This window comes from Homo sapiens, chromosome 15 (genome assembly GCF_000001405.40).
Source record: "Homo sapiens chromosome 15, GRCh38.p14 Primary Assembly".
NCBI classification, from domain to species: domain Eukaryota; kingdom Metazoa; phylum Chordata; class Mammalia; order Primates; family Hominidae; genus Homo; species Homo sapiens.
The window spans coordinates 64,906,856-64,926,577 of NC_000015.10; the positions used below are offsets into that span (position 1 = coordinate 64,906,856).

The 19,722-nt window shown below is 49.7% G+C and overlaps 1 protein-coding gene across 1 annotated transcript in view, besides 5 other annotated features; it reads left to right on the forward strand.

Moving 5' to 3' along the window:
* Positions 4,275 to 4,569: a silencer, noted in NCBI's record as "tiled region #6079; K562 Repressive non-DNase unmatched - State 21:Repr". NCBI's record gives its function as "represses a minimal TATA promoter and a strong SV40 promoter by Sharpr-MPRA in K562 cells {active_cell/tissue: K562}" and the evidence as "EXISTENCE:reporter gene assay evidence [ECO:0000049][PMID:27701403]".
* Positions 4,643 to 4,692: a silencer, noted in NCBI's record as "silent region_6545". NCBI's record gives its function as "represses an Ori minimal core promoter by ATAC-STARR-seq in GM12878 lymphoblastoid cells {active_cell/tissue: GM12878}" and the evidence as "EXISTENCE:reporter gene assay evidence [ECO:0000049][PMID:35858748]".
* Positions 4,893 to 5,072: a silencer, noted in NCBI's record as "silent region_6546". NCBI's record gives its function as "represses an Ori minimal core promoter by ATAC-STARR-seq in GM12878 lymphoblastoid cells {active_cell/tissue: GM12878}" and the evidence as "EXISTENCE:reporter gene assay evidence [ECO:0000049][PMID:35858748]".
* ANKDD1A (ankyrin repeat and death domain containing 1A) overlaps positions 5,047 to 19,722 on the forward strand; it is a 46,790-nt gene continuing 32,114 nt past the window's right edge. Inside the window, exons 1-5 of the mRNA NM_182703.6 lie at positions 5,047 to 5,109; positions 8,942 to 9,045; positions 10,531 to 10,659; positions 15,066 to 15,164; positions 19,211 to 19,315. Coding sequence (NP_874362.3) covers positions 5,076 to 5,109; positions 8,942 to 9,045; positions 10,531 to 10,659; positions 15,066 to 15,164; positions 19,211 to 19,315 — 471 coding nt within the window. The 5' untranslated portion in view covers positions 5,047 to 5,075. The remainder of the gene's footprint in view (positions 5,110 to 8,941; positions 9,046 to 10,530; positions 10,660 to 15,065; positions 15,165 to 19,210; positions 19,316 to 19,722) is intronic.
* Positions 5,259 to 5,802: an enhancer, noted in NCBI's record as "H3K4me1 hESC enhancer chr15:65204313-65204856 (GRCh37/hg19 assembly coordinates)". NCBI's record gives its function as "activates a minimal SCP1, AML or CMV promoter by ChIP-STARR-seq in primed H9 embryonic stem cells {active_cell/tissue: H9 hESC(primed)}" and the evidence as "EXISTENCE:reporter gene assay evidence [ECO:0000049][PMID:30033119]".
* Positions 8,510 to 9,010: an enhancer, noted in NCBI's record as "H3K4me1 hESC enhancer chr15:65207564-65208064 (GRCh37/hg19 assembly coordinates)". NCBI's record gives its function as "activates a minimal SCP1, AML or CMV promoter by ChIP-STARR-seq in primed H9 embryonic stem cells {active_cell/tissue: H9 hESC(primed)}" and the evidence as "EXISTENCE:reporter gene assay evidence [ECO:0000049][PMID:30033119]".

Here is a 19,722-nt window from a genome sequence, read left to right on the forward strand (position 1 = left end):
AATGCCTGATGATCTGAGGTGGAACAGTCTCATCCTGAAACCATTCCAATGGCCCCACCCCAACCCATGGAAAAATTGTCTTCCAGAAAACCAGTCCATGGTGGTAAAAAGATTGGAAACCACTGGTTTAGAGGGTACCTAGGGACCTGAAAAATAAACTGGCCCTGCCTCCCTTTGGTTAATGCTTTCTTCCTCTAATGGATTATTCATCACCTCTCAATCCAATGCTTGAGGGGCCAGGGACCTAAAAGACCATCCAGGCCTATTTCCTTATGGAGAGAGGGAAAGGACTTGTCCAGTTCCACAGCTGGGCAGTGCAGATCTGGATTGGAGCTCAGGTCTCTTAGTCCTGTGCTCCTGCTGCTCCTTCCCCCACTGGGTGAGCAGTTCTGCAGGGGGCTGCCACTCCTACCCACAATCAAACTGCTCACTTATTTGGAGCACCTGTTCAGGAGCTGCCCACTGGGTACCCCTGACCCCACTTGGCTGGGAGCTTCTGCCACTCCCTCCCTCCTCTCAAGCAGCTGATTGCTCTAAGCAGAGAGGAAACCAGTGCCATTCTGGCTCCCAAATGCTGGTACAAGACCAGCAAATATTTACCACTCTTGTGTGTGTGTGTGTGTGTGTGTATTTTTTTCTTTTGTTAGAAAAGGGCTAGCGCAATATATAACAAGTGATTCATGGTGGCGTCTTCTGGTAGATTGATTGTATTTTGTCCCTTCTTTTTTTTTTTTTTTGTTTTTTTGAGACGGAGTCTCACTCTGTCGCCCAGGCTGGAATGCAGTGGCCTGATCTCAGCTCACTGCAAGCTCCACCTTCCGGGTTCACACCATTCTCCTGCCTCAGCCTCCTGAGTAGCTGGGACTACAGGCACCCGTCACCACGCCCGGCTAATTTTATATATATATATTTTTTTAGTAGAGATGGGTTTTCACCATGTTAGCCAGGATGGTCTTGATCTCCTGACCTCGTGATCCTCCCACCTCGGCCTCCCAAAGTGCTGGGATTACAGACGTGAGCCACCGCTCCCAGCCCCTTCTTTGTATTTTAAAATTTCTTTAGTAATGAACAAACATTAATAAGACAAGAAATAAAAAGCTGTTTTAAAATTTCTCTTAAGCAAAAGGCCAACAATCATTTAAAAAATGAGTGGGATAAGAACAGATTGTTCTCAGGAAAAAAAAGAAAAGAAAACGGCTCTTAAACATAGAAACAGATAACCAACTTTTCTTGTAATGATAGAAATGCAAACTAAGATTATAATGAATTACTATTTCTTACTTATCAGATTGGGAAAAATCCAAGTTTTACAGAATGTTCTCCTTGGAAACAGGCACCCTCATACATTGGTAATGGAAATGCAAAATATTTCTGGACCTTATGGAGGAGAATTTGGCAATAGCTAGCAAAGTTATATGTGCATTTACCCTTTGACCAAGCAATCCCATTTATAAGAATAGATCCCATAGATGCACTGGTAAAAATACCAACTGATGCATGCATAAGGTTGGTCATTGTAACTCTATTGTAATAACAAAAGTCTGGAAACAGGGCCAATGTCCATCAACAGGGAGTGGTTGAATAAGCCACCCAATGGAGGACTCTGAGGCTGTACAAAGGATGCAGGAAGATCTCAACAGACTACTGCGGAGAGATCTCTGTAGTAGATTGTTCCCAGAATAAAGCCAGAAGAATGTTCAGAACGGGCAAATCTATGGAGAAAGAAAGTAGATTTGTAGTTGCCTAGGGCTGTGTGTGGAGGGTTGGGGAGGGTAAACTGCAAGGGGGGGTGATAGCTAAAGCATATGGGCTTTCTTTTCTGGGGTGATGAAAATATTTAGTGGTGATAGTTATACAACTCTGAACGATACTGTACTAAAAACCATTGAATTATACACTTAAATGGGTGAATTTTAAGGGGCAGGGCAAAGTAAGAAGATGATATATAGTATGCTACTGCAGTAAAGGGAGAATATATGATTAAATTAAACAATATAAGGGTAAGCATCAACAACACAAATGTTATTTTGTCAGTCAGGATGCAGTGAAGGAAGCAGAATCATGTTGAGGTTATGGGTTTAGGGTACTGGTCCCCAACCTTTTGGCACTAGGGTCCAGTTTTGTGGCAGACAATTTTTTACAGGACTTGGGTGGTGGGGGGATGGTTTTGGGATAAAATTGTTCCCCTTCGGATGATCAGGCATTAGTTAGATTCTCATAAGAAGTGTGCAACCTAGGTTGGGCATGGTGGCTCACGCCTGTAATCCCAGTACTTTGGGAGGCCGAGGCAGGTGGATCACTTGAGGTCAGGAGTTTGAGACCAGCCTTACCAACATGGTGAAACCCCATCTCTACTAAAAAAATACAAAATTAGCCGGGCATGGTGGCGCAAACCTATAATCCCAGCTACATGGGAGGCTGAGGCAGGAGAATTGCTTGAACCCGGGAGGCAGAGATTGCAGTGAGCCATTGCACTCCAGCCTGGGCAACAAGAGCAAAACTCCATCTCAAAAAAAAAAAAAAGAAGTGTGCAACCTAGATTCCTCACATGCACAGTTCACAATAGGGTTCACCCTTCTATGAGAATCTAATGCCACCACTGATCTTTCAGGATGCGGAGCTCAGGTGGTAATGCTCGCTCTCCTGCTGCTCACCTCCTGCTGTGTGGCCCAGTTCCTAACAGGCCATAGACCAGTACTAGTCTGAAGCCTGGGGGTTGGAGACCCCTGGGATTAGGGATCTGTGATAGTAATTTGCCTTACACAGTTGCGGAAGGACCAGAAGGGGAGTTGGGGATCAGAGGAGTCCTTAGTCAGTCATCTGAGAAACCAAGTATGTCCAGCTGCTAAAATGGAACCACAAGGGAAAGCTCCTGGGGAGGTCTATGGGTGGTACTAATGCCCTGGGTCTGCAGCCAAGTCCGCGATGGCCTGGGGCCACTGTTGGTCAGCAGGCTCAGCAGCTGGGAAGAAAAGCTGGATGTGGAGTGAAGGAGAGTGACAGCAGGCTGGAAGCCAGTGGTGCCCTCTTCATCCATCACCACAGCTGACTATGACAACCTTCAGAGACTTAACTTTGAAACATGTAAATACTTTACATAATTGTAAAGCAAAATTAACATTTAAAAATATCAAAAAACAAAAGCAAAACAAAATAAATAAACCATGCATGTTGAGTTGGTGGCATAACCACATAAAGAACTATTCCAAGTGACTAAAACAGTAACGTGACACTATGCCCCTAGTGGGATGTACATGTGACAAAAGCTTTACAAAAAACATTTAAACTGTTTTCAGGAATAATATCTTTGGCTAGGCGTGGTGGCCAAGCACTTTGGGAGACCTAGGTGGGTAGATCACCTGAGGTCAGGAGTTCGAGGCCAGCCTGGCCAACATGGTGAAACCCCCGTCTCTACTAAAAATACAAAAATCAGCCGCGTGTGGTGGCACACACCTGTAGTCCCAGCTACTTGGGAGGTTTAGGCATGAGAATCGCTTGAACCTGGGAGGCAGAGGTTGCAGTGAGCTGAGATTACGCTACTGCACTCCAGCTTGGGCAACACAGTGAGACTCTGTCTTAAAAAAAAAACAAAAACAAAAAGGGGGGGGTGCGGCGCAGTGGCTCACACCTGTAATCCCAACACTTTGGGAGGCCAAGGTAGGTGGATCACCTGAGGTCAGGAGTTCAACACCAGCCTGACCAACATAGTGAAACCCCATCTCTACTAAAAATACAAAATTATCCAGGTGTGGGGGCGAGTGCCTGTAATCCTAGCTACATGGGAGGCTGAGGCAGGAGAACTGCTTGAACCCAGGAGGCAGAGGTTGCAGTGAGCCGAGATCATACCACTGTACTCCAGCCTGGGCGAAAGAGTGAGACTCTGTCTCAGAAAAAAAAAAATCATATCTTTGATTATTATGTTGGAATTGTTATTTTGAGACCATTTTGAGGGGTTGGCTCAGGGCTCATTAATTGTTAGCTGTTATCATTATGTTATTTTTCAAAGGCCATTCCAAATACCTCCTTCTTCAGGAAGCCTTCTTGAACTATATTCTAAGGACTAATGACTGAAAGATGCTCTTCCTCCTTTGATCCCCAAAGTAGTAGTAACTACACCTATCATGGCTTTGCTGGCTTCTTGCCTTGGGATAGAGATGCCTGAGACCCCATTATCCCTAAATTCAAAGAAGCTGTAAATGCCTTTAAGGCAAAAAGGACATGGACATCCCCCAAGGGTCTGAAGTGCAACCCATTCTGGTGTATTTAATGTGTATCTTTTTGTTTCTATGTGTCTTTGCAAGTCTGTGTTGTTTGATGTAAATGCATTTGTAATATTTTTATTGATATTGTTTCCTAGGTCTTATTTGGTTTGGTTATTTACTTTTTCTGCCTAGCACTAGGTGTTTAAATCCATATTGCCACGAATACAGCGGGTCCCTTGCTTTGAGTGCTGCACAGTTTATCCATCTGCTCTTACAAGAAAGGGCGCTTAGATTGTCTCCAACTCCCAGCAACCACAGCAACACAGCAACCAACATCCTCCTACATGTCCCTTTATGGGCCTGATAAATCTTTCTGAACACTGATAAATCCGACCATCTCTTCATATGCTTGCAGACCTGCTGAGGTTGTGGTCCCTTAAACGCCAGCTCACATCTTTGGGGTTTGACTTTCTGCGCCTGAGGCGGCGGGCCCAAGGCTCAGCCCTCCTCCCCGAGTCCCGAGAGGCGCGAGGAGGATGAGCCTGCCAGATGCCTTGTGCGCATCTATCTCCAGGGCCGGGGAGGCTGGGCGAACTCCCGGGGAGGAGACTGGGTCAGGGACACCTGCGGAACTCGGCGTGGCCCCGACCCGCCGGCCTCGGGCGCGGAGGGGTGGGCAGGTTAAGAGAGCAGGAGGAGGGACCTGCGTCCTGGTCCGGGACTGGGGTGGCCGGGGCAGCTGCGCTCCTAGCAGGCGGGGCGTGGAGTCTGGAGGAGCGACCGCCCCGTCCTCTCGGCTCCCCGGGCCCCGCCCCGGCGGACGCGCGCCTCGCGCCCGGGCACCAGCGCGCGCAGGGGCTGCGGAGCGGCAGGATGCAGGAGGAGCTGGCGTGGGAGACCGACGGCCGTGAGTCTGCCTGGAGGAGGGAGGGGGGCGGGCCGAGGCCGAGAGGACCCCCGCATCCGTTTGGGGAGTGCCAGGGGTGAGGTTGGCGCCCTCCGAACGGCCACCTCCGTGTGGGGCGTCTGTGTGGCTCCGAGCGGAATGGTTACCGGTCCGCGCACTGGGCCGAGGGGACCTTGCCAGTGCGTCTGGGACTCGGGGACCACACCCGCCAGGTGAGCGGGGAGCAGCGGCTGAGAGGTTAGCTACAAATAATAAAGGTAATAGCGATCCTTGACTGCGTGCTGTACTTTGTGTGCCAGGCCTTGACCCAGGAGAGGCACGTCATTTGATCTTCGCTGCGGCCATATGGGTAGGACATTATGTTATCTTCATTTCGCAGATGAGAAACTGAGGCACAGGGTGTTCAAATGAGTTGTTCAAGGTCACACAGCCATTGAGTGGTAGAAGTGCTGAAGGGCCCAGCTCACCCGGAATGCTGGGGCTGGATAGCGAGTGGAGACCGCATCAGATGGGGCACGCACTCAGAGGAGAGGAGCCTGACTGGCCACAGGTGGAATGAGGGCACCTCCGAACCTCCCTCAAGGAGTGCGCCCAGTGCCAGGGCCTCTAGGCCGGGCAGCAGCGTCTGTGTGGGCATCAGCTGGCCTGGGGCAGCTTTGGCTGCACCGTCTGGGAGAGGGGAGAGAAAGATTGTGTCGGTGTCTGCACTGTGAGTCCTTGATCCTGCAGCCCTGGCTGAATCCTGACAGCTGAATCCCGGGGCTTTCCCTCAAAAGCGCATAGTGCAGCTCACTGGATTCCTTTGAGACCTATAGTGTCCAAAATGCTGGCACACTGCATCTACTCAGCTGAGGGATGTGTTGGGGGTGGGAATGCTCAATCAAGATTAGGTACATGGTTCTGCCTGGGGCGGAGGATCACTTGAGTGGGCCTGCGAAGAATGTGTACCAATGGAGCATTGGGGTGTGTGGCAGAGAATTCTGGACAAAGACCCAGCATGGGCAAAGGCTCAGGTAGCTCAGTGGGTATTGGATGTGGCCAGAAAGAGGGTGCCGGATGGGAGGTGGATGGAAGAGATGAGACTGGACTTGATTTCATTCTAACTTAACCTTCTCTGGCCTGACCCTATGCAGTGTCTGCTGGCTTCCCATTGGAACTCCTGGCTGTTTGCCAATACAAACCAGGCCAATCCCCCTAAGCTGCACATAAGATAGAGGGTGCCAGACAGGAAGGGACCTATACAGATCTCTTTCTTCACCCTCCCCCAGTTTTACAATGGAAGAAACAGACCTACAAGGGGGATGTGACTAGCCCAGGATCCTGCTGCTGGAAAGTGGCAGGGAAGGTACTAGAACCCAGGCCTCTGTAAGCTCACATCTGAAGTGGCAGCTCTCTTTGGCTACCAGAATTTGACCCTTTGCCTTGGAGGAATAATAGTGATGATGATGGTGGTGGTGGTGGCGGTGTGGTCATTATGTGCCAGACACTGTGCCAGGGGGTTTTCATATCTCATTTCTAATCATGATATTAACCTTGTAGGGAAGCTCGCACTCCTGTTTTGCAGATGAGGAAACTGCCTAACACAGCTAGGAAGTGGTTAAGCCAGAGTTGAACCCAGGACTGTGTGATTGCCCCCCAGGGTAGCAACTCTGAGATCCACAGGTTGTATCCATGAGGCCCCAGAAAGCTCAAGATCCTCTTTCTCATCTGGAGAAGACTGTGTGGAATTTATCTAGAAAAACAAACTGCATGGCAGGCCTGTCTCTCACCTCAGTGCATCTTAGCCTTCCCTACCAAGACACTCGTCACCTGTCCCTGGATACACAAAGGGGCTGGGTTCAGACATTCATACTGGACCAAACATGCAGGCTATGGGGTCACTTGCCCTGCAGTGACTATGGAAAGGGCCAGCAAATATTTGTCTCTGTGCTAGTATGTGTGAGCACTTTGGGAGAGGGGACAGGCATCTATTCGTCTGGGGATTGTTGGTGTCACTCATACAAGCAGAGATTTTTTTGTTTCTGTTTTCTTTTTTTTTTTTTGAGATGGAGTCTCGCTCTGTCACTAGGCTGGAGTGCACTGGCATGATCTCGGCTCACTGCAACCTCCAGCTCCCAGGTTGAAGCAATTCTCCTGCCTCAGCCTTCCGAGTAGCTGGGACTACAGGTGTGTGCCACCATGCCCAATTAATTTTTGTATCTTTAGTAGAGACGGGGTTTCACCATGTTGGCGAGGATGGTCTTGATCTCCTGACCTCGTGATCCATCCACCTCGGCCTCCCAAAGAGCTGGGATTACAGGTGTGAGCCACTGCACCCAGCCTGTTTTTGTTTTCTTTTTAGAGACAGGGTCTCACTCTGTTGCCCAGGCTGGAGTGCAGAGGTGCAATTATAGCTCATTGGCAGCCTCAAACTCCTGGGCTCAAGCAAGCCTCTTGCCTTAGCTTCTTGAGTAGCCGGGACTACAGGCATGTGCCACCACACCTGGCTAATTTTTAAAAAAACTTTTTTGTAGAGATGGAGGTTTTGCTTTTTAGCCCAGGCTGGTCTTGAACTCCTGGCTTCAAGCCATCCTCCTGCCTTGGCCTCCCAAAGTGCTGGGATTGCACGCATGAGCCACCATGCCTGGCTCAAAAGCAGAGTTTTGTGGGTTCCTCCTGTGCCCACCTTTGGGCCTGCTGTGAGCTGTGGGTGGATCAGGAAGGGTCAAGTGTGGCCAGGGCCTCCAAAATACTTGAAGTCTAGCCATGGAGACTAGACATCCTCACAATCAAGAGCCGTCAGGATGATGGCAGCATGGGGCTCCGGTGGGGATCATCTGGACCTGTGTCCTCCTGGCTCAGAGACTAATGCAGTCTGACCCTGAGCCCACAGGTGTGCGTGACAGGGGTTGGCAGGGGGAGCTCTGAGGTTCCCTTTAATCTGAGACTCTGTGCTAAAGGTGCAGCGATGGGGGTGAGAGGAGCACAGAGAAGAGAGACCACAGAGAAGGAAAATCAGGGTAGCCTCAGCGTGGGCAGGTGGAAGCTGGTTAGGATTTGGGCAAGAGTGATTGGAAGAGGCTGGGCGCTGTGGCTCACGCCCGTAATCCCAGCACTTTGGGAGGCCGAGGCAGGCAGATCACTTGAGGTCAGGAGTTGGGGACCAGCCTGGCCAACCTGGTGAAACCCTGTCTCTACCAAATATACAAAAATTAACCAGGTGTGGTGACACACACTTGTAATCCCAGCTACCGAGGAGGCTGAGGTGGGAGAATCGCTTGAACCTGGGAGGCAGAGGTTGCAGTGAGACAAGATCACGCCACTGCACTCCAGCCTGGGCAACAGAGGGGTTGGAAGAAGGGGTGGAGGAACAAGGAGACGGAATGTGCAGGAGTGGGGTAAACATGCCTCTGGCCTCACCCGGCGCTGGCACGCAGTAGGTGGCTCAGTAAATCCTGGCTGTGTAGACTGAGCCGTGGAAAAGATGGTTACTGACTCCAGAGGGAGTTAATTTCATTTCCTTCCCCAAGAGCAGCTCTTGGGAGGGTACATGAAACTTGGATAATGGGGCACACATTTAGGCTGCTGAAAATGGCTTCGCCCTGCTCTTCCATCTTCAGGGTTTCACCACGTCCTGGTTGCGTGGCTGTGGGGTGAGTTAATGAGGAAGAGCAGCCTGTCTGGGGAGGACCCTGACCTTGAGAGGGAGGAGGGCTGTGCCGCTCTGCCCCTGTTCCTAGCTGAAAGACCCCTGCTCCAGAAATGTTCAGGAGTGGAAATGGGTTGTTTACCTCTCCTGTCTGCAGTGTGGGGCATCCTCCCCCTCATCCTGCACCCCATTTTCTCCCCACAGTGCTTCCTCTGGAGAGGCAGCTCCACGAGGCCGCCCGCCAGAACAATGTCGGCAGGATGCAGGAGCTGATTGGGAGGAGGGTTAACACCAGGGCCAGAAACCACGTGCGTAATGAGCTTCTCTGAATCCAGGCACCTGGGATAGTGTCACGATAATGCCAGTACACAGGGGGAATAGTTTATCTGAGCTAGAGGCAGGCACATTTGCATGTGTAAACTTGGAGGGAGGCTCGGGCTCTGTCCTCATGGCCTGCATTGTCTCGAGGAATCTGAGGCTTAGAGTGGTTGGGCCCCCACCCAAGGTCAGGACCAGGATGTCAAGCCAGGCTTGGGCAATTCCAGAGGTCAAACTCTTAACTTCTGGGACCCATCTGAGAGGTTAGAGCCAGGAGGGCCAGGGTCAAAGGTCAGCAGCCAGAAGCTGGCAGATGGGCAAAAGAGGAGGACAGACATCACACAAAGCATCTCACAAACAATTCATTCCCTCTGTGATAAGTTGTCGTAAGAGCGTGTGCAGGAGGGTCGGCTTTTTTTCTTTTTTTTTTTTTTTGAGACAGGACCTCATATCACCCAGGCTGGAGTGCAGTGGAGCAATCACAGCTCACTGTAGCCTTGACCTTCCTGGGCTCAGTTGATCCTCCCATCTCAACCTCCTGAGTAGCTGAGACTACAGGCGTGTGCCACCATGCCAAGCTAATTTTTGTATTTCTTCTAGAGATAGGGGTCTTGCTATGTTGCCCAGGCTGGTCTCAAACTCCTGGACTCAAGCTGTCCTCCCACCTCAGCCTCCCGAAGTGCTGGGATTACAGGCATGGGCCACCTCACCCTGCCAGAAGTGGCATTTTTGAGGAGCCAAGTGAAGGACAATATTTCAGGCAGAGGGAATAGTATGGGCAGAAGCCCTGAGGTAGGAAGGAGCAGCTGGGCTCCAGAGAGGGGATGTGGCTTGCCTGAGACCACAGAGAAAACTAGTGCTTCCTTTCATTGTCCCCTCATAAGCTGAGAACTACAGAGGGGAGAAGTGGGCACAGGGGCCACAGGCCAGCTTCCCTCAGGCCTATTTGGATAACGTTATGAACTGCCAAGGTGGTCTGAGAATGAGGTGGTGGGTCAGGTCCCTTCAGCCCCATTCTGAGAGAAGGAAGGGGACAGAACCCAGGCACTCCAGTGCCTCTCAGGGACTTGGAGGATAATCCTTGGCCACATGGGGCTTTCCAGCAGGGGGAACAGCAGGAAAAGGCCTAGAGGTGGGAAGCTGCTTGGTATTTCTGAGAAGCAGTGGTGGGCAGTGCCAGACCATGCAGCGCCTCATCATCCCCAAGGTTAGGAGTTTATCCTGAGAGCCATGAGAAACTGTGAAGAGTTTTAGATGGGGACAGATGGGTCCAGTCATTTTACTATGTTGGCTCTGGCTGCCATGTAGGAGAGGAGCATGTGGCAGAATGGGGCTGGGTCCCCAGCTAGCTGGGGACCAGAGCCAGCAAAGACCCTTCCAGCCTGCAGACCAGCTGTCCTGGGGGAGGGTGTGGGAGGTGGTCCAGGCAGCCAGGTGGCAGCAGCACCTGACAAGTGTCATCTCCCTCCGGGCAGGTGGGCAGGGTGGCCCTGCACTGGGCTGCAGGTGCAGGGCACGAGCAGGCTGTGCGTCTGCTTCTGGAGCACGAGGCTGCTGTGGACGAGGAGGATGCGGTAGGGGCCCTCACAGAGGCACGTCTGTGTGTACGTGTCTGTCTGTCTGTCTGTCTCAGGGTGGTGGGGGGCACTGGAGATCTCTCTGGGTCTATGAGCCAGTTGCCGAGATTGCTGCTAATATGCAGACATTCAGGTGCAGAGTGGTGGGGAGTCAGAGGCTTCAGGCGCAGGGACACTGCACTGATTCTGTTTTACTCCTGTACAGCAATGAAGAGCTCTCCACTTTCAAGGGTCTTTCAGTTCTCAGAGAGCCTTTTCAGTCCCTCATGATACCATGCGAACAGAGAGAGGGCTGTAGAACAGATAATTGGGTGGATTGATAGAGGCCTGATTAGCAAAAGCACCAGGAGGAAAGTCTCTCATGATATGCCACAGGGCTCTGCCCTGGCTAACACTTCAATCAAAGTCTTGGATAAAGACTAATAATAGTCTTAGTTAACCAATTGGCAGGCAGCGTGTTGCTGAGAGAGAGCACTGATGAGTAACGGGGTCTGTAAAATTATCTCTACAGGTTTGGGAAAAAGGCTGAATCTAATAATGACATTTGAAAGGGATACACTTATGGCTTTGTCTACATTTAAATTAAAAAAAAGCGCCTGGGCGCGATGGCTCATGCCTGTAATCTCAGCACTTTGGGAGGCCAAGTGGGTGGATCACTTGATCCCAGGAGTTTGGGACGAGCCTGGATGACACGGCGAAACTCCGTCTCTACCAAAAAATACAAAAATTAGTCAGTCTCATAACCTGGTGTCTAAATACATAAATAGATAAAAATTTTAAAATAAAAAATAAAACCATAAACTTCCCTGCAGCGACTTAGTTGTCCATGAAAACAATTTTCTTTGTTCCGGCTTCTCTCTGCTCCCAGGCCTCACTATGTGGGGGCTTGATTACTAGTTGGGGTTGAGGTGAGGCAGCAACCCTTACCTCCCCCATTCCCCAATCCTGTCTCCTCCCTGTACCTGCTTAGGCCTCCTTTAGGGATGCCTTTAGGAGCAGAATGTCTAGGATCCTTAGCCTGAGCTCCCTGGTGAAACACTAGAGCCTCTTGCATCAAGTCTTTATACCCACAGAGACCCCCACTATCACCACTGTGCTGTTATTTCTTCCTTCAGGGGTTTAGTGAGAAAAGAAGCTACGAGGGAGAACAGTAAGAGGGGGCCCTTTTAGAATCCCTCCTTGTTGGCCAGGTGCGGTGGCTCACACCAGTAATCCCAGCACTTTGGGAGGCCAAGGCAGGAGGATCACCTGAGGTCAGGAGTTCGAGACCAGCCTGGCCAACATTTCGAAACCCCGTCTCTACTAAAAATACAAAAATTAGCTGGGTGTGGTGGCACACACCTGTGATCCCAGCTGCTGGGGAGGCTGAGGCAGGAGAATCGCTGGAACCTGGGAGACGGAGGTTGCCATGAGCCAAGATTGTGGCACTGCACTCCAACCTGGGTGACAGAGCGAGACTCTGTCTCAAAAAAAAAAAAGAATCCTCTCTGTTTCTTTTGCAAATGGTAATAAGTAACCTTTTGAAAAATAAGACAGCCTGCTGGGCTTGCCTGCTGTAGTAATGGGGTTCGGGAGATACTGGAGAAGGGAAATCCTGTGGTTGGAGGAAAGTCTGTAGTGATATGCCGCAGGACTCTGGCCTGGACAGTTCCTAGGAACTATGTATGTGGGGAAAGCTGGTATAGGACTGTGATGTATCCCGGAGGTCCCCACTGTCAGGAGGCTCTGGCTCCCATGGCTCTCCCTCCCTCAGTCCTGAGCCTTCACCCTTTTTACTCCCAAGCGTCTGTGGACTCCTTCCTCTGGACTCTGCCCGTGCTTGTTCTTTCTCCTTCCTCCTGCAGCCAGCCCACAGTTGCTGATACTCTACCAGGTGCTGAGCTCTGAACCAGTGCCAGGTCTCCTGGCCTCTTCGGCTCTAGTTAAGGCCAGCTGTAGACCCTCATTTGTTTCTTTTGTTTTGTTTTATAATTTTTAATTTAAAAAATATGTCCCCATCTTGGATGATAGACCCTCATTTGAGGCTCTATGCGAGATCCAACACCTTCTCTAGGATTTCATGAGGAAGAACTTAAGTGCTTGTGGTCCCTGCTGGCTCTTGCTTCCAGCTTCTGGTCAGCTTTTGGCGTTCTCTTGAAATTTTGCAAATAGTCCTTTGACTCCACCCTGGTGTCATCCCAAACATGGTACCTCTCCCCGGTTTCCAGGGACTCCATTCACAGAAGGCTTGTGGTGTGGTTTTCCAAACTGGGAAATAGAGGAGACCTACATTATACATGAAAACAATGTAAAAATCCTAAAAACCCCTCTTTGACATTCTGTTCTTTAAAGGCCCTTGGTCCTCTCCTTGCCTTGGCCCCAGCCTCTGCTTCCCTCCTCTCTCCAGTGCTGTCCTTGTCTGCACCACCCGCCTCCTGCCTCCAAATTCCCGCCTGTTTCTAAAGCAAAGCAGTGCAACTCTCTTTGGATGCTCGGGAGCCTGCTGATCAGTGAGTTCCCTCTGAGTTTCACCTTTTGCCTCAACCCTTTGTCAAGGCTTTTACCCAAACACAGTTCCCTCCCTAAGAGGAATTCTGGTGCCAACCGCTAAGACCCCTTTTCTTGGTACCCCTCACAAAGGCTCCTGGTGGAGCCAACACACCCAAGGAGGCACTGCAAAAAACCATTCCCAGGATCTGGCTGGCTCTTGATGTATCCCCGGAGCTGAGTTTGGAGGCCTGGGGTTGCTCTTCACAGAGAAGAAAAGACTCCGGGGAGGTGGGGGAAGTGCAGAACCCTACTGCAGTGGAGGTCAGTGAAGGGACTCTGGGGACCCTGGAGCACGGTGCAGATGTGGAGGAAGAGCACCCTGCAAACAGGTGTGGGGCTGCCCTGAGTGGAGGCATAGACATATTTTCAGTTGCTCCAGAGAGTTGGTGGGATGGAAATTGCAGGAGTACAGATTTCAATAGAGCTCGAGGAGGCATTTCTAACAGAAGCCAGTGTTTGACTGCGCAGGGATGTCTCGTGAGGTGATGTGGTGCTGCAGACTTAAGCTATCTGCCTTGAAGATATTCTATGGGATATTTATTTATTTATTTTTGAGAGAGGCTCTCACTCCATTGCCCAGGCTGGAGTGCAGTGGTGCAATTTTGGCTCACCATAAGCTTTGCCTCCTGTGTTCAAATGATCCTCTCATCTCAGTCTCTCAAGTAGCTGGGACTACAGGCACGTACCACCATGCCCAGCCAATTAATTTTTTTATAGAGACAGGTCTCATTATATTGCCCAGGCTGGTCTTGAACTCCTGGGCTCAAGCGATCCTCCCACCTTGGTCCCTCCCAAAGTGTTGAGATTACAGGCATGAGCCACCATTCCCAGCCTCTATGGGAGATTTAAACAGTCCATTCTTAAACACCAGTCCAGGATAAGGTCTTCACCAGTCATAGCAAATCAGAAAACAGGGACAACGTATTTTTCATGAAGCTACATTTGTTTTTTTGTCTTTGTTTGTTTGTTTTTGAGACAGGGTTTCGCTCTGTCACCAAGGCTGGAGTGCAGTGGTGCGATCACAGCTCACTGTAGCCTCTACCTCCTGGGCTCAAGTGATCCTCCCACCTCAGCCTCCTGAGTAGCTGGGACCACAGGAGTGTGCCTCCACGCCTGGCTTATTTTTACGAAAATGTCTGTAGAGATGGGGGTCCCCCTATTTTGCCCAGTCTGGTTTCAAACTCCTGGGCTCAAGTGATTCACATCTCAGAGTGTTGGGATTACAGGTGTGAACCACCACACCCAGTTATGAAGCTTTATTTGTCAAGTATATATTCTAAGATTGGTTCCTTACAAATTTTTTCTTTTAAAATGGTCTTTCTTTATGAAATGGTGATGAGAGTAAATGGCAGCTGGTTTTTTTGTTTGTTTGTTTTGAGACGAAGTCTCACTCTGTCACTCAGGCTGGAGTGCAGTGGCATGATTTCACCTCACTGCAACCTCCGTCTCCTGGGTTCAAGCGATTCTCCTGCCTCAACCTCCCAAGTAGCTGGGATTACAGGTGCCCACCACCACGCTCGGCTAATTTTTCTATTTTTAGTAGAGACGGGGTTTCACCATATTGGCCAGGCTGGTCTTGAACTCCTGACCTCATGTGATCCTCCTGCCTCAGCCTCCCAAAGTGCTGGGATTACAGGCGTGAGCCACCAAGCCTGGCCGGCAGCTGTCTTATTTTTAAGTTTCATTTAGCAAAAATAAATTTTAAAAGTTTGCAATAGTACATCAGCCTCTATTTAAAAAAAAAAAAATCTTGGTCTTTAAACTCCTAAAGCTTGGAGCTCCCTGGATTAAGTGGCACTTATAGTTCCTTCTGGTTGTATGGTTTAGTCATAAGGCACAGGGCCTGGCTGGCACAGCCACGCCTTCCCACATTCTTCTCACCTCCTCTATGTCCTCTCCCCTAGTTTGGGATGAATGCGCTTCTCCTGTCTGCCTGGTTCGGCCACTTACGAATCCTCCAGATCTTGGTAAACTCAGGGGCCAAGATCCACTGTGAGAGCAAGGTAAGGCCTCAGCTGGTAGACCCCTGTCCCCTCGGCTCCCCTGGCCTGGATGCACAGGTCTCCCCCGACCTCTGTCCCCCACCCCTGCTTGCCCCTCCAGCCCCCAACCTGCCTCTGCCTGTCCCTCTTTCATCTGATCTCCCCCACCTCCCTTTACTATTCGGTGAGTTGGGAGAGTTCCCAGCCCTCTGGCTGGCCTCCTTATTTACAAGAGAGAAATCAAAGTAACTCCCTCAGAGGGTAGTTAGAAAAATTAAATGAGAAGGAGGTGAGGTCTCCTCCACCCTCCTGCCAGGCTCTGCACCCCTTGTGCTCAGTGCGGTGGGGTGAAAGGAGCAAAGCATCATTTACCAAGTGTGGTATGGTGGGCGAGTTTCTCTATCAGCCTGCACTGGGATTTGAGGGAGCAGGGCCCCAGCAAGTGAGAGTGCCTGGAATCCCTCCACTGGTGTCTAACCTTTTAGGGTGTCAGTGGCCCATAGGAAAATGCAAACATTTCTGGGCCAAATCCCTCAGCCAGGAGTTCTCACATGGGTTCTTGGAGAAAATTCAGAGGACCTATGAACTTGGATTGGAAAAAAATGCATATTTATTTTGGCTAACTTCTTGAAAATTTAGCATTTTTTTCTTTCTTTCTTTTGAGATGGAGTCTTGCTGTGTCACCCAGGCTGGAGTGCAGTGGCATGATCTCAGCTCACTGCAACCTCCGCCTACTGGGTTCAAGCAATTCTCTTGCCTCAGCCCCCAGAGTAGCTGGGACTATAGGCGCGTGCCACCACTCCCGGCTAATTAGCATTTTTTCCAATCATGAATGTAGGTAATATTAGTACTTGTGACTTTGTCACTAATAGAAAATTTAGCTATTTTCATATCACATGAAAATTTTTGCAGTTATCTTAAAATACTTCTTACACTTATCATTACATTGAAATTATGGCAGTGATTAGACCCTTCACTAGATCTTGTTGTTTAACGGGTCAGTAAGGAAACACATATGTTACTAGATTGAAAACTTGGTTTGTAATATTTTCATAACTTAATTTCAATATAATTGGTTTCCTTTTATGGTAGGCAGAATAATGGCACCCCAAAGATGTCCATATCCTAATCCCTAGAACCTCTGAACCCCCACAACCTAACACACCAATAGGAATTTGTTGGGTGTGATGTGATATGTGTGAGGTGTGATGAAGGAGGCAGGGCTGGAGTGATGTGAGCCACTAGCCAAGGAATTCGGGCAGCTTCTAGAAGCTGGAAAAGGCCAGGAAATGGATTTTCCCCAAGAGCTTCCAGAAGAAACACAGCATTGCCAACCCAATTTAGAGTTCTGACCTCTAGTATTGTAAAATAATAAATTTATGCTGTTTTATGCCATGAAGCTTATAGTAATTTGTTATAGCAGCAATAGGAAACTAATACGCCATTGTAAGCCTGTGTATTTGATTAATTTTTTTTCCTGTATAATTTTTTTTTGCATTTAAGTAAATATTCTGAGAAGGGGTCTATAGGCTTCACCAGATGTAAAAGGGTTGTGGCACATAAGAGGTCTGTCCCATGCCATTGTTAGGATCCTGTTGGCAGTGGTGGGAGTGCCTGAAAGCATTTGGGTTGGAAAATCCATCCCAGAGAACCATGCCCCTATGTGGTGGGTCACAAGATCTGAACTGGAGTGTGGGAGGGAGGGGCCAGCAGGAGGGCACCCTGTGAATACACCCAGGTTCAAGCTCAGGGTTCTGCTGTCTGGTCCTGCCAGCCTGGCCTGGCTTGGCCTTGGAAGGGCTCAGTGGCCCTGGGGAATCCAGTGCTGTCTTGATGGAGTATACTATAAACAGAGTTGTGAATGAGCCTCCATGTTCTAGAATGAGGGAGGCGGGGTCTTGGGTGTATATGGAGGGTGAGGTTCTGAGTCACGGACTCTTCTAGTTAAGCAGATCCCCTCTATATTTGTTTTCTGTTTTTGGCAACAAATCACTCTAAAATTTAAACGTAATGAATCTGAAAGTAATGATATATTATTTTCCACAATTCTGTGGTTGGCGGGCAGTTCCTGTGGCCTTGCCTGGGCTCACCTACAAGGCTGCAGTCAGCAGGTGGGTGGGCTGGGGGCTGGCTGGCCCTGGAGGGTCTCACTCACATGTCTGGAGCCTCTGCAGGAAGGGTTGGAATGTCTGGGATGGTGCAGCTGGTTTCTCCAGGTGGTCACTGATCTTTAGGGAGTTCAGCCTAGACTTCCTTATGTGTCTGCCTCAGGACAGCAAAAGAGCCAGAGCAGAATTGGCAAGGGCTCTAGAGGCCAAGGCTGGAAAGCCACGTGGTATCACCTCCATTGCATTCAAAAGCCCATCACAGGACCAGTGTAGAGTCTCAGTGAGAAGAGTAGCACCACCCTGGGGTGTGCTTCCAAGGGCAGGAGGAATAGATGCAGCCAGCTTTGCAAATGATAGACCCCACTCTTCCTTTCAATCTCTTATTCAAGGTCTTCCCCAAAGGGATTCATCTTACCTATAGATGCCACAGGCCCAGTCCTGCTTCTGCCCTAAAGCTTTCTCCTTTCGCTGCTGTTTATGTAGCTCTACCTTGCCAGGCATTGGTGATATTTACAGTTTTACTAAACTATAGACTATAATAAGATTTCAGCAGTTTTTCCATTAATATTCTATAATGCTTTAGTCATTTTGTCTCCTTAGTCTCTTCCAATCTTGTGATGATTTCTTTGTTCTTCCTTGTTTTCCATGACCTTAACCGTTTTGGAGAGTAGTAGCCAAGTATTTTGTGGAATGTCCTTAATTTGGGTTTGTCTCATGTTTTCCTCATGAAAATCATCCGTCCAGGGCTATGGAATTTGGGAAGAACACAAGAGGGAAGTGTCCTTCTCATCCTTTCATATCAAGGGGTCCATGATACCAACATGAAATACACACACTGGGCCGGGCGTGGTGGTTCATGCCTGTAATCCCAGGACTTTGGGAGGCCGAGGCAGGCAGATTGCCTGAGTTCGGGAGTTCGAAACCAGCCTAGGCAACATGGGGAAACCCCATCTCTACTAAAAATACAAAAAATTAGCCGGGCGTGGTGGTGGCTGCCTGTAATCCCAGCTACTCGGGAGGTTGAGGCAGGAGAATTGCTTGAACCCAGGAGGTGGAAGTTGCAGTGAGCCGAGATCGCACCACTGTACTCTAGCCTGGGAGACAGAGTGAGACTCCGACTCAAAAAAAAAAAAAAAAAAAAAAAGAAGTACACATATTGAAAATTTATATTCACTGAGATTTGACCACTGTCAAGATGTAAAACACTGTTGTACTGATTTTTATGACCCACTGATGGGTTGCAAACAGGACTTCAAATAATCTGACCTTAATACAAGGCAGGAGTAGAAGCTCTGGGGCATAAACATAGTATTTGCAAGTCTCCTTCCTTTTGCTTCTAGGCCCCAGAGACCTTCTTCCTGTCCACCCCCAACCCAGGCCACTTCCCTCTACTCCCTGCAGACCACATCTGCTCTTAATCTGCCCTAGAAGGTGAGGAGGTCACTTCCTAGTGACATACACTGGTCACTTGGTCACCTGCTTCTTCATTAGCAGCTGTATCAAGGAAGGCAGATACCTAGAACCTTCTTAACTGTTCTGGAGGCTACTAGTGCTACACGACCTCACCGTACATGTTTGAATTAATTTTCAGTTGATAAAATACCTTTCCTGTAGGTCCAGTCCTCTCAACCACCCACTGAAGTGGTCGGGGATTATGATGCTAGTTTGTCCTGTGTGAAAGTGGAGGCTCAGAGAGGTGGAGGTAACTGGCCCGAGACTCCGGAGCTGAGGGGTGCTGGAGCTGGGATTTGAATTTTGGCATCCCGACTCCTGCCAGCCCCCCTAAGGCTAAGTGGGCAGCAGAGTGGGTTATCCCTCGGGTCCATTCATCATTTACAGTGTTGTATCCATGGGGAGGCTGTGTTCTGGGTCCCAAACACTCGCTGTTTGGGAGACTGGCAGTGTGTGAAAAGGGCCTCCCTTCACAGACTGCAGGAACCCTCCTGCACTTGTTTCCAGGATGGCCTGACCTTACTGCACTGCGCAGCCCAAAAAGGCCATGTGCCTGTGCTGGCGTTCATAATGGAGGACCTGGAGGATGTGGCCCTGGACCACGTAGACAAGGTGAGAGTGCCTCAGGGCTACTCATCATTCCCATTGGGCGGGGGGCTCCTGGGGCCACTCTTGCACACTGGGCTTACCACATTCCTTGGGTGCATCCTTTGATCTGTGGGCATATTGCACCTGGCCTGGGGAGCCGCTGGTTGGGAAGAGGTGTTGAGGCGCAAATGAGCAGAATACAAGCAGAACACAGTCAGTTGCCACAGAGAGGTCTTGATCAAGGACTAGGTGGGTTAGAAAAGCAAGCCATTGCTTCTGCTTCCTGGAGGAGGTGGCATTTGGTAAATAAACTGGATTTGTGGGTAAGATTGGAAATCAGGGGTTGGAGAGGGCACCAAATGGAAGAGCGAGGCTTGTGGGAGCTTTAGGGACAGGAAAGGGCTCTAGTGTGAGTTCTGAGGGACTGGAAT